Source organism: Homo sapiens, chromosome Y (genome assembly GCF_000001405.40).
Source record: "Homo sapiens chromosome Y, GRCh38.p14 Primary Assembly".
Classification (NCBI taxonomy): Eukaryota; Metazoa; Chordata; class Mammalia; order Primates; family Hominidae; genus Homo; species Homo sapiens.
Window position 1 is genome coordinate 9,259,551 of NC_000024.10, and position 24,870 is coordinate 9,284,420.

The window sequence follows — 24,870 nt, forward strand, 5'->3', positions numbered from 1 at the left end:
AGCTCTGGCAAGCATCATAATGAATGACAGCATTGCCTAGCAACAAGTCCCTGAGGCTTGGTGAAGAGGGCGATCTCTGTGTATGGGTGTTGGCAGTGAACTTTCTTTCACCTGTCTTCTCTGAGGGATTCATAGGATAGTCCCATTATCCTTGGAGAGAGCATATGTGAGACATCATGAAGAAAGGTCAAACAGAGCCCAGGAATAATCCACAAAATCCCTAAGGATTCAAAAAATCTGCAGGATGCCTCAGGCCTGCCTAGATGTTCAAGGGGTGAATCTTTTGGAAATTTGCCCCACTGTGATTTCTTGGTACAGCCCTCCTGTGTTACTTGGGGTTGTTCTCTCCCAGTTTGGGATTTCTGCAGAACCACCCAGCCTCAGAACCTGCAGGCCTGTAGTTTCTGTGGGAGTGTTGTAAGTTTGGATGTCTGCATGTGTGTGTGGCTTTGTGGTGTGTGTGTATGTGTGTGTGTTAAATGGAGTCTAACTAAATGAATTAGGCTAACGCACTGCAGTGCTTTTTTTTGTCTCTCAACTTTTTGGTAGCCTATTTGTGTGGTTCTGCTTGGGCTGTGGGGCTCTGTGTTCTTTATTTTTCTGTGGATCAAGAACCCTCAGTGATTTGGGAGGCTGGCTGTGACCCACTATGGTCCAAATATCCTGAACCTGCAAAAAAAGCCACTCTTCTCGAAAGAAGAGGAGCACACCTCACCCAAGAAGAAACATCTCCCAGTGTTTCATTGTCCTGTGGCCAACCCAGGGAGAAACACCAGCAGTCCTGAAGGCAGGGCCCCTTGAATTTACCTTGAATTTGGTTCACAGTAGAGCAGGTGCTTCGTGTCATGAGGGGGCACTCCGCCATCGTCTTGGGATTTTATTCTGGGACAAACAGTGTGAGCAGCAGTAAGGTAAGATGGGGTGAGGATATAATCTGGTGAGGTTTGGATGCAGACCTGCACCTTCACCTGCAAAAATAGTAAAGAACTGATGGCACAGAACGTGCTTCCAACAGCATCCCCACATTTGCTTAATTGCACAAGCCGTCCATGTCATGGCTTGGGAGTACTTCTGCGTGCAGGGAACATTTGGAGTGCATACTCGGCCATCCTGGCAAACTCCCAATTTCAGGGCTGTCATACCCAGAACTAAATGGGTGTGGGATGGATTGATGTTTGGTGGGATGTGACCTTCACACTTGTCTCCTCTTCTCCTCACTTACATTTCCCTCATTGGCCTAGGTTTTCCTGGGTCTGTCTAAATGTCTACCACAATAAAGGTTTCCCAGTTCATGGAGGACGACCCTCATTTGAATCCATTGTGTGAGTGTTTCCTTCTAAACACTGTCGTGTTTTAATGACTGGGCAGCTTTGATACTTTTAAAACTGTAAATGTCAGTTACAGCCACCAAAAAGGAAACTCCTATTCTCCCACTTATTTTTCAGAGGGCTGCAAGATTCCTGTATGATGAGAAGCAGGCAGCTATGTCTGATATTGCCTGGTAATCTAGCCTCTGTTTCAATTCATCTTCAAGTCCTTTCTCATTGTGGAGGGGCTCTTTCATTGGGTTGTTGCTGCATTGCACTGCCTCTCACCCCAGATCTTTTGGCTGCCAGGGATTTCAGGGAGCAAAAGGGACTTGGGGTAGGCTGGCTGCACTCCAGGTTGTGGGTTGTTGTCTCATTGTGGGGGCTGAGGTTGTTTGCACTTTGCAGGAGGCTTTTGGGTCCTCTGACAGGAGTCTTTGAACATTGCTTGGATTTCACCATAAGGCAGCTCTTTCTCTCAGTTGAGCCTTGATTTTTCTTTGCTTTCAAGGGGAATACACAGTGCCCCTTAACAGCACTACTGGACACAATTTCAGACTTGGCACCACCACAGACGTTTCCAAGATACTCTCTCAACCTCATCTGCACCTACAAGAAGCCAGTCCGAGGTGTGAGAACACTGCACCACCTTGGACTTGCCTTTGTCATGGTTTCTGCCTTTCCCAGACAGCTCCAGAATGAAGGGTGGCAGTGAGGTCAAGAGTCTGACCATCTTTCACTGGCACCCACCTCTGGGTTCTCAGGCACGTTTCTATCACCCAGAGAACCCTCAAAAACACAGCAGATTATATTCCAGTCCCCATGGGACCTGATTCTTGCACACAGCCCCTTTGGAGAATAAAGTCAGAAGAGGAGTTTCCAGCGACCACCTCACAGTCTCAAAAAGCTTCCTCCTCCAGGAGGCCCCAACCACAGATATGGCCCAAGGGGCCCTGAGGTCGAGAATTTTAGTGCCCTGCAGTGGGTGTTTGCAGGCATCCTTTACTTCAACACCAGGTCGGCTCTGACTGTACATTTTCCTGTGCTTAGGCAGCCTGACAGTTCTGCTAGCCTGGAGGCCTTGCCTGCCTCACGAATGCGCATGCGCTAGACTCAAGGACTCAGGCCTGATTATGAGCCCTTGCTTGTGTCACATCGAATGTCACAGTTGCCTAACTACAAGTCCCTGCGGCTTTGCGGCGAAGGAGACCTCGTGGAGGTGCCTTGGCAGTGGGCTTTTGCGTCTCGTCTGTTGTATTCACCAGATACTCCCATGATCCTAGGGCAGACGTGAGCCAGCCTGAAGAAACCTCAAGCACGACCTCAGGAATAAATTGCAAAATCCTAAGAATCCAAAAGGATCTGAAGGATTCCTCAGGCCTGCCTAGACGTTGTAGGGGTGAGTCTTTTTTAAACTTGCCCCACTGTGATTTCTAGATACAGCCCGCCTGTGTTCCGCGAGTTTGCTGTCTCCCAGATGGGGCTTCCTGCAGAACCACGCATCCTCAGCAGCTGCTGGACTGTGTGTTTCTCTGGGAGACTTGCAAGTGTTAGATGTTTGCCTGTGTGTGTATGTGTGTGTGTGTATGTGCCAGTAAGTGGCGTCTGTTTAAAGGAATGAGGCTAACACACTTAAGCACCTTTTTTTTTTTTTTTTTTAGTCTCCCAACCTAGTGTTGTCCTGTCTCTGTGGCTCTGCTTAGGCTGCGGGGCTTTGTTTTCTTTATTTTTCTGTGGATCGTGAATCCGCAGCAAATTGGGAGGCGTGCCATGACCCGCTGGCGTCCAAATCACCTCTGCCAGCAGAACAACAACAGCAATAACAAAAAAAGCCACTTTTCTAGAAAGAAGAGGAGCACACCACACCATAAAACAGGTCTCCCAGTGTTCCATTGTCCTGCAGCCAACCCAGGGAGAGACACTAGCAGTCTTTTCCACAGCGAAACACACAAAGCCACACACACATGCAGACATCCAAAACTTACAACACTCTGACAGAAAAACACAGCCCGGCATCTCCTGAGGCTGCGTGGTTCTGCAGGAAGCTTCACCTGGGAGACAGCAACCCTGGGGAACTCATGCAGGCTGTATCTAGAAAACACAGTGGGATAATTTTCAAAAAGACTCACCCCTGCAAAGTCTAGGTAGGCCTGAGGCATTCTGCAGATCCTTTTGGACACTTAAGAGATTTCGTAGTGAATTCCTGCGGCTCTGCTTGAGGTTTCCTTAGGCTGGCTCACATCAGCATTCTCCTAGCATCATGAGATTATGCTGAGGGTCCCACAAACAGTACAAGCGAAAGTCTGTGGCCGACCCACCTCCGCAGATGTTTCCTTCTCCGCTAAGCCACAGGGACTTGTCTCTAGGCAATGGTGGTGGCATTCATTGAGACATCAGCCAGAGCTCACAGTTCAGGTCTGGTGCCCTGAGACTAGCGCATGCGCATTCACGAGGCAAGGTTGGGCGCCTGGCTGTCAGAGCTGTCAGCCTGCCTAACCAGAGGAAAATGGTACAGCCAGAGCCGGCCTGTTATGGGAAAAAAGGCTGACTGCAGTAACCCACTGTGGGACACTAAAAGCGTCGACCTCAGAGCTCTGTCGGGTCTTCTCTGTGGTCTGGTCTCGCTGAAGGAGGACACATTTTGAGACTGTGAGGAGGACGCTGGAAACTGCTTTTCTCACTCCATGGCTGAAAGAGGCTGTGTGTAAGAATCAAGTCCCATGGGAATTGGAATATAGTCTGGTGAGTTTCCGGGGGTCTTCGGGTGATGGAATCATACCTGAGACCCCAGAGGAGGGTGTCTGTGAAAGATGGCCAGGCCCTTGATGTGACTGCCTCCCTTCATCCTGGCCTCACAGGGGCTCTTGAGAAAAGGCTGGAACCATGACAAAAGGAGGTCCAAGTTGGAGAAGTGTTTTCACACCTCGAACTGGCCTCTCACGGGTGCAAATGAGGTTGAGACAGTGTCTCAGCGCCCATTTGTGGCGAATGCAAGCCTGGAATGGTGTCCAGTAGCACTGTTGAAGGGCAATGTGGACTCCCCAGTGAAAGCAAAGAAAAATCAAAGCTCGCCTGAGAGAACGAGCTGACTAGTGCCAGAGACACAGCAATGTTAAAAGATTTCTATCAGAAGACCCAAAAGCCCCTGGCAAAGTGCAAACAAACTTGGCCCCCAAAATGAGACCACCACCCAAAACCTGGAGTGTAGCCAGCCTACCTAAAGTCCGTTTTGCTCCCTGAAATTACTGGCAACCAAAAGATGTGTGGTGATAGGCAGTCCCACTCAGGAAGAGTACAATGAAAGATCCACTCAGCAATGAGAAGACCATGCAGATGAAACGAAGCAGAGGCTACATTACCAGGCAAAAGCCAAACACGGCTGCCTGCTTCTCATCCTACAGGAATCATGCAGCCTTCTGAAAGAAGTGAAAGAACAAGAGTTTCCTTGTTGGCAGCTGTAAAGGCAATTTACAGGTTTAAATTATCAATGCTGCCCAGTCATTAAAACCTGACAGGGTTTAGAAGAAAACACTCACGCAATGGATTCCCATGAGGGTGGTTCTTGAGAATTGAGAAAGGTTTAGTGTGGAAGTCACTGGGCAGAGACCCAGGAAACCCTAGGCCGATAAGCAACATGGAAGTCAAGAAAAGAAGAGGCCAGTTTGGAGGCCATAGCCCTCCCAGCAGTAACCCATCCCATTTCCATTTGGCTATGGGTATGAAAAACATAAATCCAGACTTTGCCAGGATGGGCCCAATTTGCACTCCAAATATTCCCTGCATGTTGGATTACTTCCACCTGAACACCAGGTCATGGTTGGACTGCTTGTGCAATTAACAGAATAGGGGGATGGGAATGGAAGCACCTTCTGTGTCATCTGTCTTCATATATTTTTTGCAGTTGAAGTTGCAGGACCCCATCCACTCCTCACCAGATTGTATCCTCATCCCTATCTGACCTTATTTCTGCTCACACTCTATGTTCCAGGATGAAATCCCAAGATGATGAAGGAGTGCCCCTTCAACCTGAAGCACTTGCTCAGCTAGGAACCGAATTCAAGGTAAATTCAAGAGGTCCTGCAGACAGGACTGCTAGTGTCTCTTCCTGGGTTGACCGCAGGACAGTGAAACACTGGGAGACATCTGTTTTTTGGTGTGTTGGTGTGATGTGTTTCTCTTCTTTCTAGAAGAGTGTTTTTTTTTATTTTTTTCCAGAGGAAGGTGATTTAGACACTGCGTATTCATGATCCACAGAAAAATAGAAAACATGGAGCCCCACAGCCCAAGCAGAGCCACACAGACAAGCAACCAAAAGAAAAGGTGAGGGACTCAAATAAAGAAGGATTGAAGTGTGTTAGCCACATTCTTTTAAGCAGACTCCATTTGCAGGCACACACACACAAACACACAATGCCACACACACACACAGAAATCCAACACTCAAAACACTCCCAAAGGAACACACAACCTGGCAGCTTCTGAGGCTGTATGTTTCTGCAGGAAGCCCCACCTGGAAAAGAGCAACCCCGGGGAACACAGGAGGGCTTTACCTAAAAATATCAGAGGGGCAAGTTTCAAAAAGACTCACCCCTAAAACATCTAGGCAGATCTGAGGAATCCTGCAGATGCTTTTGGATCCTTAGGGAGTTTGCAGTTTATTCCTAGGGCTCTGCTTGACATTTCTTCAGGCTCCCTCACATCTGCCATCTCCTAGGATCATGAGATTATTCTGTGGATCCCACATAGAAGACAGGCAAAGAGTGCACCGCCAATGCACCTCCACAGAGGTCTCCTCTGGAGCTCAAAATCAGGAATGGTTCCCTGAGCTTAGCTCATGAACATTCATAAGGCAGGCTCTGGCACCCAGATGTCAGAGCTCTCAGCCTGACTAAGCAGAGGAAAATGCTACAGGCAGAGCCGCCCTGGTATCAAGAAAAACGATGCCTGTGAAAACCCACTGTGAGACTCTAAAAGTCTCAACCTCAGGGCCCCTTTGGGCCATCTCCATGGTTGGTTCCCACTGGAGGAGGAGGCATTTCAGGACTGTGAGGTTGTTACTGGAAACTGCTCTTCAGACTCTATTCCTCAAAGAGGCTGTGTGCAAGAATCTGGTCCCATGGAGATTGGAATAGAATCTGTTGTGTTGTTGGGGTTCTTTGGGTGAAAGAATTATACCTGAAACCCCAGAGATGGGCATCAGTGAAAGATGCCCGAGCTTGACCTCATGGCCTCCCTTCATTCTGGGCCTCACAGGGGCCCTCTGGAAAAGTCAGGAACCATGACAGAGGAAAGCCCAAGGTGGAGCAGTTGTCTCACACCTCAGACTGGTCTCTCCTTGGTGCAGATGAGGTTGACACAGTGTCTCAGAGGCCATTTGTGGTAATAGTAAGCATGAAAATTGTGTCCAGCAGTGCTGTTAACAGGCATTGTGGACTTTCCCTGAAAGCAAGAAAAAAATAAGGCTTGCCTGAGAAAATGAGCTGCCTTGTGCTGGAGTCCAATCGATGTTCAGTGATTTCTGTCAGGGTACCCAAAAGCCTACTGCAAAGTGCCAGCAACTTCAGCCCCCAAAACGTGACCATAGACCAAAACCTGGAGCACAGTAAGCCTACTCAAAGTCCCTTTCGCTCTCTGAAACCCCAAGAAGCTATACAATCTGTAGTGAGAGGCAGTCCCTTCCAGCAACAGCTCAATGAATGAGCCCCTCCACAGTGAGAGAGAGCCATGCAGATTTAATGAAACCGAGCCTAGATTGCCAGGTAAAACGTACACACAGCTGTCTTCTTCTCCTCCTACAGGAATCATGCAGGCCTCTGATAGAAGTGGGAGAATAAGAGTTTCCTTGTTGGTGGCTGAAATGGAAATTTATGGTTTTAAAAGTATCAAAACTGCCCAGTCATTAAAACGTGACAGTGTTTGGAAGAAAACACTCATGCAGTGGATTCCACTGAGGGTCATTCTCCAGGAACAGGCAAACGTTTAGTGTGGAAGTCATTTAGCCAGACCCAGGAAACCCTAGGGTGACCAGGAGCATGGAAGTCAGGAAAAGAACATGCAAGTATGGAGGCCACATCCCACCCAGCATCAAACCATTCCACTCCATTTGGCTGTAGGTATGAAAGCCCTTAAATCGGGAGTTTGCCAGGATGGCCTCAATTTGCACTCCACATGTTCCTTAAACATAGGAGTACTGCCACCTGAACTCCGGGACATGGTGTAGACTGCTTGTGAAATTAAGGGAATGTGGGCACAGAATTGGAAGCACCTTCTGTCATCTGTCTTCATCTTTTTGCAGGTGAAGTTGCAGGACCCCTTCCCCTTGTCTTCAGATTATATCCTCACCTTTATCTGATGTTATTTCTGCTCATATTCTGTGTCCCAGGATGAAATCCCAAAATGAGGGAGGAGTGTCCCCTCACAATGGTGTAGCACCTGCTCAGCTGGGAATTGAATTTGAGGTAAATATAGGGGCCCTGAGGACTGGACTGCTAGTGTCTCTCCCTGGGTTGGCTGCAGGAAAATGAAACACTTGGAAATGTCTGTTTTTTTGGTATGGTGTGCTCCTCTTCTTTCTAGAAGAGTGGCTTTTATTGCACAGGGAGATACCTTGGTCCCCAGCAGGCTTGGTCCGCCTCCAAAGTCACTGAGGATTCATTATTCACAGAAAGATAAATAACACAGAGCCCCACAGCCCAAAAGAGTCATACAGACAGGCCACCAAAAGGTTAGTAGACTCAAAAAAAAAAAAAAAGAACCGCTGAAGTGCTTTAGCCACATTCCTTTAAGCAGACTCCACTTAATGTCACACACACACACAAACACACAATAAAACACACGCAGGCAGACATCCAACACTTGCAACACCCCCAAAAAAACACACAGACTGTCAACTCCTCAGGCTGTGGGATTATGCAGGAAGACCCATCTGAGACAGAGCAACTCCAAGGAAAATAAATGGGCTGTACCTAAAAATCACAGTAAGACAAGTTCCAAAAAGGTTCACCCTTCCAACATCTAGACATCATGCAGATGCTTTTTGATCCTTAGGGATTTGGCAGGAGCTCTTCTTGATGTTTCTTCAGGCTGGCTCACGTCCTCCCTATCCTAGGATTATGGGACTATCCTGTGGATCTCACAGAGTAGACAGGTGAGAGACCACAGCCGACGAACCTCCATGGAGGTCTCCTCCTTGGGAGTCTCTTCCACAAAGCCGCGGGGACTTGTCGCTAGGCAACGGTGACATTCGCTGTGACTCTAGACAGAGTTCACACTCAGGACTGGTGCCCTGAGAGTAGCTCATGTGGATTCCTGAGACATGCTTATGTGTACTGCTGTAACAGCGTTCAGCCTGCCTAAGCAGAGGAAAATGGTACAGTCGGAGCTGGCCTGCTATCAAGAAAAAGGCTGCCTGTGAAGACCCATGGCGGGACAATAAAAGCCTCAACCTCAGGACTCATTTGGACCATCTCTGTCTTCGCGTCCTGATGGAGGATGAGGTGTTTCAAGACTGTGAGGTGGTCACTGAAAACTGCCGTTTGAAATCCATTCCCAAAAGAGAATGTGTGTCTTCAAGACTCGGGTCCCATGGTGATTGGCATATAGTCTGTCTGGTGTGTTGTTGATGGTTCTTTGGGTCATAGCATCATACCTGAGACTCCAGAGGCATTTTTTAGTAAAGATGTCTGGGCTCTTGACCTCACTACCTCCATCATCCTATGCCTAGCAGGGGCTCTCTGAGAAATGCAGGAACCATGAAAAAGGCAAGTCAAAGTTTGAACCATATTCTCACACCTTGGACTGACCTCTTATGGGTGAAGATGAGGTAGAGACCATGTCTCAGAGGTCATCTTTGATGATGGCAAGCCTGAAAAGGATATCCAGTAGAGCTGTTGAAGGACACTGTGGATTGCCCATAAAAGCAAAGAAAAATCGATGCTCACCTGACAGAATGAGCTGCACTGAGCTGGAGTTTAAGCAATGTTCAATGCTTCCTGTCAGAGAACCCAAAAGCCTCCCAAATTGCAAACAACTTCAGCCCCCACAATGAGACAACAACTCGAAACTTGGAGCACAGCCACACTCCTCAAAGTCCCTTTTGCTCTTTGAAATCCCGGGAAGCAAAATAATCTTTGGTGAGAGGCAGTCCCATCCAGCTACAGCCCAGTGAAAGAATACCTGCTCAGTAAGATGACTATGCAGATGAAAAAAATCAGAGGCTAGACTACCAGGCAAAAGCCAGACAGGGCTGACTTCTTCTCACCCTACAGGAATCATGCAGAATGCCAACAGAAGTGAAAAATACAAGAGTTTCCTTGTTGGCGGCTATAAGGGAATTTACCGTTTTAGAAGTATCAAAGCTGCCCAGTCATTAAATTGTGAAAGGGTTTAGAAGGAAACACTCATGCAATGGATTCCCATTAGGGTCATTCTCTGTGAACTGAGAAACATGTTTTGTAGAAGTCATTGAGCCAGACACAGGAAACCCTACACTGACAAGAAACATGGAAGTCAGAGAAAGAAGGGGCAAGTGTGGAGGCCACTTCCCACCTACCATCAATCCATTTCATTCCCATTTTGCTCCCAGTATGAAAGCCTGCAAATTGAGAGTTTGCCAGGATGACCCCAGTTTGCACCCCAAATATTTCTTGCACATTGGAGTACTTTCACCTGAACACCGGGCCATGGTGTGGACTGCTTGTGCAATTAAGGGAATGTTGGGATGGAGTTGGAAGTACCTTCTGTGTCATCTGTCTTCATTTTTTTGCAGGTGAAGTTGTGGGATCTCATCCAATTCCCACCAGATTTTATCCTCACTCTTGTCTGACCTTATTGTTGCTCACACTCTATGTCCAAAAATGAAAACCCAAGACGATGGAGTATTGCCCCCTTATGATGTGAAGCAACTGCGTGGCTGGGACCTGAATTTGAGGTAAATTCAAGGGCCCTGTGGACAGGACTGCTAGTGTATCTTCCTGCATTGGCTGCAGGACAATGAAACACTCAGAGATGACTGTTTTTTCATGTGGTGTGCTCCCCTTTTTTCTAAGAGTGGCTTTCTTTTGGAGTGAGAGGTGAGTTTGACACTGGTGGGTCTCAGGCTGCCTCCCAATTCACTGGGGATTTATGATCCACAGAAAACTAAAGAACATGGAGCCCCACAGCCCAAGCAGTGCTGTACAGACAAGCCACCAAAAAGCTGGGAAACTCAAAAAAAAGAAGTGCTAAAATGTGTTAGCCATATTCCTTTAAGAATACTCCACTTATATTCTAACACGCACACACACAGACACACACACACACAGACATCCAACACTCTCAATACTTTCACAGAAACACACAGGCTGGCAGCTCCTGAGGCTGTGTGGTTCTGCAGGAAGCCCCATCTGGCAGAGAGCAACCTCGGGGAACACAGCCACTATACCTGGATATCACAGTAGAGCAATTTCAAAAAGACTCAACCCTACAAAGTCTAAACAGGTTTGAAGAATTCTGCAGATTGTTTTGTATTCTCAGGGATTTCACAGTTTATTCCTGGGGCTCTGTTTGATGTTACTTCTGGCTGCCTCATGCCTGCCCTTTCCTGGGATCATGGGACTATCCCATCGATCCAACAGAGAAGACAGTCAAGAGTCCACTGCTGATGCACCTCCACAGAGGTCTCTTTATCTGCCAAGCTTCAGGGACTTGTCACTAGGCAAAGGTGGCATTCATTGTGAAGCTAGCCAGAGCTCACAATCAGGCCTGGTGCCCTGAGACTAGTGCATGCACATTAATGAGGCAGGTTTTAGCGCTGGCTCTCAGACCCGTCAGCCTGCCTAAGCAGAGGAAAATGGCAGAGGCAGAGTCAGTCTGGTATCAGGAAATAAGCTGCCTGTGAAACACATTGCAGGACCCTAAAAGTCTCAACTTTGGGGGTTATTCAAGCCATCTTCATGATTGTGTTCCACTGGAGGAGGAGGCATTTCAAGACCATGAGGTGGTCGTGGAAACTGCTCTTCTGAGTCAATTCCCGAAGGAGGCTGTGTTAAAGAATTGAGTCCCATAACGATTGATATATAGTCTGGTGTGTTCTAGAGGGTACTTTTGGGTGATAGCATCATACCTGAGACCCCACAGGTGGGTGTCAGCAAAAGATGACCAGGCTCTTGACCTCTCTGCCTCCCTTCATCTGGGGCATCGCATAGGCTCTCTGGGAAAGGCAGGAAGCCAGACAAGGCAAGTATAAGATGAACACTGTTCTCACACCTTGAACTTGCCCCTCATGGGTTCACATGAGGTTGTGACACCATCTCAGAGGCTGCCTGTGGTGACAGCAAGCCTGAAAAGGATGTCCAGTAGTGCTGTTGAGGAGCACTGTGAATTCTCCATGAAAGCAAAGAAAAATCAAGGCTCACCTGAAAGAATGAGTGGCCTTGTGCTGGAGTCCAAGCAATGTTCATGATTCCTGTCAGAAGACCCCAAAGACTCATGCAAAGTGCAAACAACCTCAGCTCCCACAACAATACAACAATCCATAATCTGGAGTGCAGCCAGATGACCCAAAGTCCCTTCTGCTCTCTGAAATCTCTGGCAGCTAAATAATTGGTGGGAAGAGGCATTCCTATCCAGCAACAGAACAATGCAAGAGCCCCTCCACTATGAGAAGGCCACGCAGATGAAATGAAACAGAGGCTAGTTTACCAGGCAAAAGCCAGACACAGCTGCAAGCTTCTCATCCTACAGGAATCATGCAGCACTCTGACAGAAGTGGGAGAATAGGTGTTTCCTTGTTTGCTGCTGTAACAGGAATTAACGGTTTTTAAAGTATCAGAGCAGCCCCGTCAATAAAAAGTGAGAATTTTTAGAAGAAAACGTTCATGCTATGGATTCCCATGAGGGTCATTCTCATGAACTGAGAAACATTTAATGTGGAAGTCGTTGAGCCAGGCACAGGAAACCCTAGGCTGGAGAGAAACATGGAAGTCAGAAAAAGAAGAGGCAAGTGTAGAGGCCACATCCTACCCAGCACCAATCCATTCCACTCCCATTTGGCTCTGGGTATGAAAGTACTCACATTGGGAGTTTGCCAGAATGGCCCCAATTTGCCCTCCAAATATTCTTTGCACATTGAAATACTCCCACCTGAATTCTGGGCCATGGTGTGGACTGCTTTTGAAATTAAGCGGATGTTGGGATGGAGTTAGAAGCACATTTTGTGTCATCTGTCTTTATTATTATTATTATTTTTGCAGGTGAAGTTGCTGGAACCCATTCTCCATTCAGTAGATTGTATCCTCACCACATGTGACCTAATTGCTGCTCACACTCTATGTTCCAGGATAAAATCCCAAGAAGATGGAGAAGTGTCCCCCAATGATGTGAAGCATGTGCGCAGCTGGGAACCAAATTCGAGGTTAATCCAAGTGGCCTTGCAGACAGATCTGCTAGTGTCTCTCCCTGCGTTGTCCTCAAGATGATGGAAACACTGTTAGATGCCTGGTTTTTGGTGTGGTGTGCTCCTCTTCTAGAAGAGTAGTTTCTTCTGCAGGGGGAGGTGATTTTGGACGCTGGCGGGTCTTGGCCCACCTCCAAATTCACTGGGGATTCACAATCCACAGAAAAATAACACGGAGCCATGCAGCCCAAGCATAGCCACACAGAGAGGCCACCAAAAGGTAGTGAGTCTAAAAACAAGAAGCACTGAAGTGTGTTAGCCCCATTCCTTTAAGCAGACCCCACTTACAGGCACACACGCACACAAAATGCCACACACACTCGACGTCAAACACTCGCAACACACCCACGGAAACACACAGCATGGCAGATCCTGAGCTTGCATGGTTCCGCAGGAGGCCCCACCTGAGAGACAGCAACCCCAGGGAACACAGGCAGCCTGTACCTAGAAATCACATTGGCATAAGTTTCAAAACACATACAACCTCTAGGCTGGCCTGAGGAATTCTGCAGATCCTTTTGGATGCTTAGGGATTTTGCAGTTTATTTGTGGGATTGTGGTTGATGTTTCTTCAGGCTGACTCCCATAAGCCCTCTGATCATGGTTGAGGTTTCTTCAGGCATCCCACAGAAAAGACAGGGGAGAGTCCACCGCCAATGCACCTCCGAGCAGGTCTCTTTCTCTGCCAAGCTGCATGAACTTGTTGCTAGGCAACGGTGACATTGTGAGGCTAGGCAGAACTCACCATCATGCCTGGTGCCCTGAAACTAGCACATGCACATTCTTGGGGCAGGTTCAAGCACCCAGCTGTCAGCGATGTCAGCCTGCCTAGGCAGAGGAAAATGCACAGGCAAAGCTGGCCTCATATCGGGAAAATGGCTACCTGTGAAAACCCACTGTGAGACCCTAAACATCTCGACCTTAGGGCCCCATGGGCAGCCTCCATGGTCTCATCCCGCTGAAGGAGTACACATTTCATTACTCTTAGGTAGTGGCTGGAAACTGCTCTTCTGACTCTATTCCTGAAAGAGAATGTGTGTGCAAGGACCAGATCCTATGGGGATCAGGATATAGTCTGTTGTGTTGTTCAGTGTTCTTTGGATAATAGAATTATATCTAAGACACCAGAGGCAGGTGTCAGCAAAAGATGGCCAGGCCCTTAATCTCACTGCCTCCCTTCATTCTGGGCCTCACAGGGGCTCTCTCAGATAAGCAAGAACCACAAGAAAGGTCTCCAACCACATGTTGGAGACATGTTCTCACACTTTGAACTGGCCTCTCATGGGTGCAGATGAGGTTGAGACAGTGTCTTAGAGGCCATCTGTGGCAATTGCCACCCTGGAAAGGGTATCCAGTAGTGTTGCAAGAGCACTGTGGATTCCTTATACTCAGAGAGAAAAAATCACTTGAGAGAATTGTTGGAAAACCAGCCCCACACTGCCCAGCAGGTACCCCGAGTCCAGCGAAGACAAAGGAATTAGAAAGAGACAGAATGAGAGTTTAAAAGGCAGGTCCAGGGGACCAGAGAATTGGAGTCTTGTTCATGGCCTGGAGCTCTCAGCCTCCACCCAATTTATTGGCTTACAAGCTCTTTGTTCATAGGCAGATAGGAGGAGTAGAAGGGGATGAGGGAAAGGATTAATCAGTGAAGGAGAACTCATGAGTCATTCAATAAGATGTATAGCGAAGTGGCGGTTTCTGTGAATTTCCTTGAGCAAAGGAGTGTGTCTAAACTACTTAATGTATTTAACTTATCAGGACTGAAATGGGTGGGAGTAGGTTTCAGGAGAATCCAGGACATTTGATTATACTCCACTGCTTCAAGGGAGTGTTATTTCCCTGTGAAAGCTGTGGCATGCCACCGAGCTGTTATGCTCTCCAGGCATAAGGACATGAAGGCAATAAGGAGATTTTCTCCTCAGACGCCATCCATGGCTCCCCATGGGAGTCTCACATGGGGGAGACCAACTCATCTGGCATCCCAGAAACTCTCTTTCCCATATGTCCCACTTTTTTGTCTCCATTTTTTTTAATTAATAACCACCATTGCTATCATAGCTCATTCACGGTGTCTGTCTTCTCTCCCAAGGTGCTGTCTGCAACTGTAGACTAAAAAAAAAAAAAGCATAAACAGACACAAACCAAAATAATATTTCAGTTGATGATCCACCTATGGTTTTAATTCACTTTAAAGGATTATTGTTAAAAAGGCCATCAGTGGCTCCAGCAAGAATATCATCTCCAAGCAACAAGCTAGGATGAGCCTGAGATGCTGCAAAAAGTTGTTTTTTCCGTTTAGCAGGATCTAATGTTAAATTATCTTCTCCTGGTAGGTGATGTCTAATCATCTCCCAATGGTGTTCAGTGGTATTATAAGAGCTAGGAGGAAACAAAAATCAGAAGTATTCCAATCACTTTGCATTTGAATTCTCTGCTCCAAGCTCATAATCTGACCACCCATTCAAATTACTGTTTGATGAAGATCATTAATTTGATTTGCCAATTTTTGATCTATTTGGCTTTGGGAATTCCAAAGCTTGGAAAAAATTTTCCTGTCAACTATCCACAGAGCTCACAGTTTGAATAGAATAATGCAAAGTTATACCAACAGCAGCAGCTATAGCTGTGACCGCTATAAGGCCCATGATGACAGCTATTAAGGTAAATATGAATCTCTTTGATCTATTAAGTATTTCTTTTAGTACTGCAGTGATAATATATATGGAGGAAGAGGTGTCCCAAGGTCTATTGAGGGAAACAGGTATCCAAACTCCTTCTCAGGCCCTAACCAGTAAAATGCTATTATCTTTATTAAAGGTAGAATTAATGCAGGTAAAAATATGACAGCTGAGGCATGATATGGTTTGAGAGTCAAGTAGGATATTAACTTTTCCTACTGCTAACATAAAAGGAGGTTTAACACAACTCTGCAATGGAACTGTCTTATTAGAGATCATGGCTACAACAAATCAAAGTTTTTCACTATGAGTCCGTGTTTTATATTCTCCTTTCCAAATCCCAACTGGGGTTTGAGCCAACATTAATTTCCACAATTCTGGATGTTCTGGACTTATAATTGGATCAATCATTTTTGGCTTTGGAGGAGCCATACCATTCTCCTCCCACTTAATAGGGCAATTTGTTTCAATTCTTCTATATAATTTTAGTGCATTATCTGGGAAGTCGTTTGCAAAGGAGCCTCTCCAAAATCTTTGCTGTGTCTAGTACAATTTACAGCAAAGTGACCCCTAGGGGCCCAATCAGTGATGATTCCAATGGAATTATTTTGCAATACTGCAGTGCTGTTTACAATACAAACTTCCCAGGTTAGCACCTCTAGATTTTCAGACCATTTAGTGGCCTGCCTGGTGCAGGACTTCTTATTAGGTTTAAATTTATTAATCTGATGATATGTCATAACATAGCCATGCTCAAGGTATTTAATAGTGTCCAAAGACTGAAATGTTCTTCCACTGATTACATGAATAGAGGTCTTTCATCCATTATGTTCAGGGACATAAACCATCCAATTTAAACATCCTGCTGCTGGACCCAGGCAGATGGGAGGAAAGTGATAACCACTGGAAACTTTCATTAATATTCCTTCATCTTCTGGATGAGTAGGACCTTGGTTATCTATTGGTCCAGGCATCCAGACACTATCATTAACATAACCTCCACTGGGGCATCTAAACTTGTAACAGGCCTAATCAGTGGTGGGAATGCAATGTAGGTCCAATAAGTGTAATTTTGATCTGCCCCTCTGCAGGGAGACTCACCACCAAGGAGATTACCACCATCATAGCTACCATTAGATTACTGGTGGTCAGCAGCTTGTGCTGAGACCACAGGTTCTTTTCTTCAATGCGAGCTAGTCTCTTCATCTGCCCCCAGGTCGGTGGAGTTGCTTGGTAAGTTTCACTGGTTTCCATCTGCTCAACAGAGATGTTCATCTGAACCATCTGATGAACTGGGGGTGTAGGGACTTTCTGAGGTCTTTTCCTCTTCCTTGAATTCTGGCTCCTGGCACAGCTTAAGATGTCTTGTGGGTACCCAGACAAGAAGTTGATTCTCTCCTGGTGAGATATAAGCAAATCCTCAATCCCAACAAGACCCACTGGGGCCTTTTGTTTGGGTCAGTTTTTGGGCCGTTGATAAAAGCTATGATGACACGTCTGCTCCTGTATCGACCAGAGCCTCAAATTGTTTTCCTTGAATAGTGACCTACAAATAGGACTATTGTCAGAGACTTGATTTACCCAATAGGGAGCCTTGCCTGCTGAATTTGTGCTTCCATATCCTTTTTTTCTGAGATTTCTCCTAACTTAACATATGGTAAAAGCAACAGTTGAGCTATTCTGTCACCTGTTAGCACTCCAGGGAACAGTGGAGGAGATAACAATTTGAATTTCTCCCTGGCAATCAGAGCCCACTACTCCAGTATGTACTTGAATTCCCTTTAATTTTAAGCTGGACCTTCCCAGTATAAGTCCCACCATGTCCTTTGGCAATGGGCCGTAAATTCCCATTGGGATCTTCCTAGGAGGCTCCCCAGGAAGGAGGGATAGAGCTTTTGTGCAGCATAAATCTACTGCCCCACTTTTATCTGTGGAGGGGGACAATTGCTCTGCATTTGTACAGGGATACACTGGGCTGGGAATACTCTGTTTGGAGTCAGGGATGACCCACCCTGAATTGGGAATGCCCTGTTTTGAGTTTTGCCTTTTTTGGCTCTTTGTACACTCTCTTTTTGCATGTCCTATCTTTCCCCAAGTATATCAAGATCCAGAGAACACTCATGTGTTTTTTATTACCCTTTGTCCAGCCATTGCCTGAGAAAGGAGGCTGGCCTTATATAAGGGCTCCTCAATGCCATCACAGGCTGTAATATATTCACTTACAGTTTTTTCCTCATTTAGATCTGCCTTTACCTTAATAGATCTAATTTCTGCCTGACATTCTGTATTCACAGTTTCATAAGCAAGCAGCTGAATGATCACTTTCCTGGCACAAGAATTTGAAATAGTCTTTTGAGCAGCTTCTTGCAAATGGGGTGATAAAATCTGGATAAATCTCCCTTGGATCCTGTCAAACTGAGTTAAAAGAAGGATAAATAGTAACAGGGTCATGAATTTTTTTCCTGGTATCTTCAGCATATAGTTCTGAGCTGATCAACAGCCTCATCACCCATTACCATCTGTTGATTTACAGTACCCAATGCCTGTCCAATTCCAAGCAATTGATCAGATGTGATATTAATAAGAGGTTGGGCCTGAGCATTTCTGCCTGCCTGACTTGTTGCTTCATCTGTCCACCAGGTTTTAAATTGGAGAAATTGAGATGGGGACAGGGTGGATTGAGCTAATGACTCCCAATCCATAGGTATTAAGGGCCTGTTATAAGCCACAAATTATAATGAGGAATGAACCTCAGAAGAATTTGGCCTATATTGTCCAATTGCTTGCTTAAATTGCTTGTCCAATTTGGCCTATATTGTCCAATTGCTTTTTAATATTTTAAAAGAAAATGGCTCCCAGCAGGCCCGAGCATGTTCTCTGGGCTCCTGAGCTGGAGAAATAATTACCAGAAACTGCCAAGCATCCAAATCCCCCATTTCTTGTGCCTGTCAAATGGATGCCTGAATTGCCCCTGCACCATAATTTGTATTTGGACTGGCTCACAGCATTTTTCTCCCACAATTAACAGGTGGACAAGCCTGGATCATTCCCTCACCGTAATTGGCTGTTGGGCTGTTGAAGCTTCCCTTTACCATAGTCAATGGTAGGCCGTGCAACAATGGGAGTGGCAAGCTGTGTCTCAGTACCTCTTTCCAAAAATTCATAAGGCTGAGGTGGAGGTGGCTGTTCTGCACTTTCCTCTAAAGATGCAGTAGGGGGAACTCTTTCTTTCATAAGTTTTTGGAGGTTAGCATATACACCTTCCCATTTCTCCCCCTTTTTTAAACTAGACTGTGATGGTTCACTGTGCTGATTATCAGACTCCTGATTATTAAACTTTTCTATGTCACCCTGAAACTTCTCCTCCTCCTCCTCAGGGTGGAAGGGCTCCAGTGCTGTTTTAATTGCTGACCACACAGACCAAGTGGAGAAGGGAATATCGCAGCCCTCTTGTTGTGCTCCTTGTAAGTCTGATCTGATCTTGTTCCAGTCTTTTATATTCATGGTTCTATATTCTGAGAACAAAGGAGAATACTTTTCTATGAGATGGAAAAAAGATGTGAGATTTTGGGTACTCATAATTACTCCTTTATGGCTCAATAACTGCTGCACCAGGCTTGAGTAATTATCAAACTTGTTTCCAGCCTGACTCATATTTTCCTGAGGTTGCCCTGGAATTCTCTGAGTGCCCCACTTACCTGTAGAGCATGAAGGGAAAAGGTACTCGGACATCCTTTGTCAGTCATCCTGCACTTTCTACGCTCTGGTTTTCCCTCACTGGATGATTTGTAGAGATATAGGGAGTACTGTGTTGGGCACCAGATGTTGAGGAAACAAGCCCCACACCACTGGGCAGGTACCCCGTGTCCAGCGGAGACAATGGAATTAGAAAGAGGCAGATTGAGAGTTTAAAAAGCAGGTCCAGGGGACCAGAGAATTGGAGGCTTGCTCACGGACCCGAGCTCTCAATCTCCACCCAATTTACTGGTTTACAAGCTCTTTGTTCTTAGGTCAGATGGGAGGGGTAGGAAGGGATGAGGAAAATGATTAATCAGTGAAGCAGAACTCGTGAGTCATTCAATAAGATGTGTAGCAGTGGTGGTTTCTGTGAATTTCCTCTTGCAAAGGCATGTGTCTAAACTATGTAAGATTTTTAACAGCCGGGCACAGTAGCTCACGCCTGTAATCCCAGCACTTTGGGAAGCCCAGGAGGGCAGATCACGAGATCAGGAGATCAAGACCACGGTGAAAACCTGTCTCTGCTAAAAATACAAAAATTAGCCGGGTGCAGTGGTGGGTGCCTGTAGTCCCAGCTACTCGGAATGCAGAGGCAGGAGAATGGTGTGAACATGGGAAGTGGAGCTTGTGGTGAGCCAAGATCACACCACTGCACTCCAGCCTGGGTGACAGAGAGAGACTCCATCTCAAAAACATTATAATAGAAATAATAAAAATAACTTATCAGGACTGAAATGGGTGGGAGTGGGTTTCAGTAGAAGACAAGATGTTTGATTATACACCACTGCTTCAAGGGAGTGTTATTTCCCTGAGCAACCTGTAGCATGCTGCTGAGCTGTTATGCTCTTGAGAATAAAGACATGAAGTCAATAAGGAGACTTTTCTCCTCAGAGGCCACCCATGGCTCCCATGGGTGTCTCACACAGGGGAGAAGAAGTCATCTGGCATCCCAGAAACTCTCTTTCCCACAGAGAATGAGCTATCTTGTTCTGGAGTCCTAGCAATGTTCAATGATTTCTGTCAGAGAACCCAAAAGCCTCCTGCAAAGTGCAAACAACCTCAGCCCCCATTAAGAGACCAAGACCCACAACCTGGGTTGCAGCCAGCCTACCCAAAGTCCCTTGTCCTTCCTGAAATCCCTGGAGGCCAATAAATCTGCAGTGAGAGGTAGCCCAACCCAGCAAATCCCAATGAAAGACGCTTTCCACAGTGAGGAAGGACATGGAGATGGAATGAAACAGAGTCTAGATTACCAGGCAAAAGCCAGAAATGGCTGCCTACTTATCCACCTACAGGAATCATGCAGCCCTCTTGTAAAAGCTGGAGAGCAAGAGTCTCCTTGTTGGTGGCTGTAACAGGAATTTATGGTTTTAAAATTATCACAGATGCCCAGTCATTAAAACATGACACTGTTTAGAAGGAAACACTCATGCAATGGATTCTTTGAGAGTCACCTTCCATGAACAGGGAAACGTTTAGTGAGGAAGACATTGAGCCAGACCCAGGATACCCTAGGCTGATGAGGAACAGGTAAGTCAGAATATAAGAGGCAAGTATGGAGGTTACATCCTATATTGTATCAATCTCTCTCACTCCCATTTGGCTTCTGGTATGAAAGCTCTCATATGGGGGTTTGCCAGGATGGCACCAATTGGCAATCCAAATCTCCAAATGTTCCTTGCACATTGGAGTACTCCCATTGTAGCAGCATAAGCCATGGACAAAACCCTTCAGACACTGGCTTAAAGAAGGAAGTGACTTTATTCATCTGGGAGCATCAGCCAACTGTCTCAAAAACCAAGTTCCCCAGAGAGAGATTCCTGCCCTTTTTAAAGGCTTTCAACTCTAAGAGGGTCCCTGTGAAGGGGTCGTCATTGATTGAGCAAGCATGGGGTATGTGGCTGGGGCTGCATGTATGGGTAATCAGGATAGAAGAGGACAAAACAGTTTCACGATGCTTCCTCATACAGTGTCTGGAACCTATAGATAATACAAGCGGTTAGGCGAGGGGTTGATTTTTAACTGCCAGTCCTGGAGTGCCGTGCATGTTCTGCCTGGCAATTGAATTCATCTCTGCCTTTCTTTAGTTTTTGATTCCTTTTTCTTTTTTTAAGGTATGAGACAATAAGAGAGGTGGTCTCCCTCCTTATTCCCCACTTTGAGAATCTCACTTATTACTGGGAGTTCTCATTCTCATCCTCCCTTCCTAGGTCTTCCTGCAAGACAGATCAATATTGGTTCATGTAATATACTGGTGGTGAAGCATTTTGGTGGACAAAGGCAGTAACAAAGCTTCGCATTATTTGAAGGAGTATGAGTAGCAAGCAGGGGAGAAATAAGCATGTTCCTATTACTATTATTCTTCCTACTATAAGAGTTTTAAATCTTCCTAGCACTGGAAACCATTTTCCAAATATTGATCCAGGATCAAACCAATGTCAATCGATATTTTTCATTCTTTTTCCAGGTAGCCAAAATGATGACAGATGTGCAAGGTGTGTCCTATCTCTAACTATATTTTTGACCACTTGCCCTTGATGATCTATATGCAGACAGCAATTGGTTCAGTTCAATTTTCCACAGACCTCACCTTCAGCTGCTAGCAAGTAGTCTAGGGCTAATCTATTTTGATAGATAGCATTTCTCCTCTGGGTTTCCTGCAAGGCTAAAAGACTCAAAGCTTTGCCAGTTTTATTAGTGATTATTTCTAAGACAGTTTGTAACTGTATGATTTGGTTGAGCATGTAACTGGGGGTTCAGTATCCCCATGAGCTGTCTTGTGCCCAAGTGGCAGGCCCATAGTATTGTATGATTCTTTTAGGGAGCCACTCAATATATTTCAATTCGCCTATAGCTATGCTCCTCTTTTCTCAGGAAGCATAGACTTGGAAGACCAGGATTTCATGTGTTTTCATGGGCAGTAGGAAAAAGGATGGTATAATGGTGCCAATAACAAAACTACCCGCCCATTTTTCAGGTAACATCGTGTAGGCTGTATGCCCAGATATCCAGCATAGTCCAGCATGGGCTGTCCAGTCCCATTGAGACTCTGTGTGGGTCCACATGGTTTGCAACTTTGGAAATTTACTAAACAGATTTTTCTCAGTGTGGTTTGAACCCCACCATATGGCTGTTTTTACTGTGCTGTTATACAGTTTTGCCCAAGGCAGGTGAACCTTCCCACAGGGAGGATGAAGTTGTTTCCTTCTATAGCTATGCAATACTGCCCAACAATTGAGGTTCTTAGGACACAGAAGTTGCCAGTGTTGGTCTTCTGGATTGTAATCATATCAGGAATTGGATCAGTAGGCACTAATTCTCAGGTTTCTTAAGGCCATTGCTCTCCCATAGTGGTTCCCTCACATATATAAAAGGAAGAAATATTGAGGGAATGGACTACAGTTTCTGCTAACTGCAGGAACAAATTCTTTGTCTTCCCTGGGAACTCTGGTGTGGGCACATTTAATTCATCACAGAAAGTCTGAAACACTGGTTTGTAAGAACACATTTTGACCTCTTGTCTGACTGAAATATTTACTCAAGGATCCTGTCCAGCTACATTGATCCCAAGAGTTACATGTTTTCCCTTTTTCCAATGGGGGGACTAGGGGACTGGTGATTATTGGTTCTAAGGTGTTACTGTGGCTGCTTGTGCAAGAGGAATCACCCTTTCCTTTCTGAAGCCATACTGGATATTTTTCATTATTTTTCCAGGTAGCCAAAATGACACAAGACCAGCAATTACAAGCTTTATCATATTGGCCTAACTCGTGGCAAATATACTTATTCTCTGCTGGATAACTTTTTTCTCAGTCCAGAGAGCCACATCCTTATCCTTAATGGTTAATATTAATGGTGACACCAGCATCAGAATTTAAGATTTTTTGTTTGGGGATTCATTTTTCTTCTGTTTTAGCTATTATTTTACTTGTATCACTTAGAAAAGGGAGAGTTCTTAATCTTATTTCAAAGACTGTGTTCATAGGAGATTCAGATGTGTTATAGCATATCCGAGTGAAGTTATACAGGCAATATTCTTTTAAAGTTCCTAGGCATTCATAATATCTATAAACCGAAAGATTGTTTTAACTTGTTTCCCTACCTCAGTAACATGATGATTACACAGGGAACAGTCCTCCATTTTGGGAACATGACAGTGTTTAGAAGGAAACACTCATGCAATGGATTCTTTGAGGATCCTCTTCCATGAACTGGGAAACTTTTCATGTGGAAGACATACACAGTAAGCATTGTATAATCAGTCTTTATTATACAAGTCCAAATTTTAAGAAGAGTAAGTCCCACGATGAGTTTTCTCATGCTTCAACCATGTGTATACCAGTCAGCTTAAAAGTGTGACTGGAGCAGGCCTTGTCATCTTTCTGAGTGTCACTTTGCAGTGGTTGTCTGGCCTTGGTCTTACCTCCCAGGTCTCAGGCACTGCAGGTGTTACACGATGGTGATGGATCCAGGCTGGGATTCCTTCTACCTTCACCAGGTGGGAGTGGTCAAAATGACAGTCTGGTGTCCCTTACACCATGGACGTAGGGGGCTGCATTCCAGTCCTTGATCCATATGGGATCACCTGGGGAGAAGTTGTGAACTGGGGAGAATAAACTAATTGGCCCCCTTCCATTTTCGCAGCCTGAAATTTTTGTGTAATTTTTCCTAGATCTTGTAGCTGTTGCTGTAACTTAACTTCACCTAACTCTCGAAGAGTGCCTGGGAGTCCCCATAATATGGGAGTGGGTCTATGATATAATATTTCATAAGGGGAATATCCTGTTCTTTTAGAAGGAGTACATCTTATCTTAAAGAATACCATACAGAGAGTCTGTAACAATCTCAATCCTGTTTCTGGACACACTTTCCCTCAGCTATTTATAATAGTTTGATTAATTCGTTCCACCTTTCTGGAACTCTAAGGTGAGTAAGTTGCATGTAGTTTCCACGTGATCCCCAATACCTTTGCTGTCTTCTGCACCAAGCCAGTCACAAACGCTGTCCGTTTATCTGAACCGATTCGTAGGGGCAGTCCAAATCTAGGAATAAGATCTCAAAGAAGCACACATGTTACTTCACGAGCTTTTTCAGTTTGTGTCGGATAAGCCTCTACCAGCTTAGAGTATGTACACACAAGAGCTAGTAAATATGTGTTACCTCCACAATTTGGCATCTCTGTGAAGTTCACCTGGAGATCTTCAAAGGGGGCTGCTCCATAAACTTGTATGCTGGGCAGAATTGCTGGACCCTCCCTCACATTTTGTTGTCAGCATAAAATACATCGCTATGCCATGGTTTTGGAAAGGACTGACAAATATGAGACGTAGAAGTACCAGCCTAACAATTTTTTAAGTGACTCCTGAACTAGAGGGGTAGTTTCATGCACAGCCAGTACAACTGTGGCTCCTAGCAGCTGTGGCATGGCTATTCTTCTGTCTGGTAACTGGATCCATCCCTCTTTTGCTGTTTGCTCTCCTTCTGCCTGAAAGAAGTCTTTCTCCTCTTTACAACAAGTAGGTACAAGGTCAGGTGTCTGAGGAAGCATGGGGGTTGAGACCAATGTCTGGTAGGGGTGGAGGCTGCTTTTTGAGCCTCTGAGTCAGCTCTGGAGTTCCCTAAAGCAACCACGGTAGAAGCTTGCTGGTGTCCCCTGAAATGCATGACTGACACATTTTGGGGTTTCCATACTGCTTCTAATAATTACAAGATT

General features: G+C 45.6%; 2 long non-coding RNA genes across 2 annotated transcripts; both read left to right on the forward strand.

The window, feature by feature from the left end:
• Nucleotides 1-5,293: 5,293 nt before the first annotated feature.
• Nucleotides 5,294-10,158, forward strand: LOC105379264 (uncharacterized). The gene is made up of 4 exons (XR_949065.3): nucleotides 5,294-5,368; nucleotides 5,523-5,627; nucleotides 7,690-7,765; nucleotides 10,075-10,158. It is a non-coding gene; the product is annotated as an uncharacterized LOC105379264 (long non-coding RNA).
• A 4,688-nt stretch (nucleotides 10,159-14,846) lies between these two features.
• On the forward strand, nucleotides 14,847-23,393 carry LOC105379265 (uncharacterized). Its single transcript, XR_949066.1, has 4 exons — nucleotides 14,847-15,402; nucleotides 16,511-16,652; nucleotides 18,797-18,883; nucleotides 23,265-23,393. It is a non-coding gene; the product is annotated as an uncharacterized LOC105379265 (long non-coding RNA).
• The last annotated feature ends 1,477 nt before the right edge of the window (nucleotides 23,394-24,870 follow it).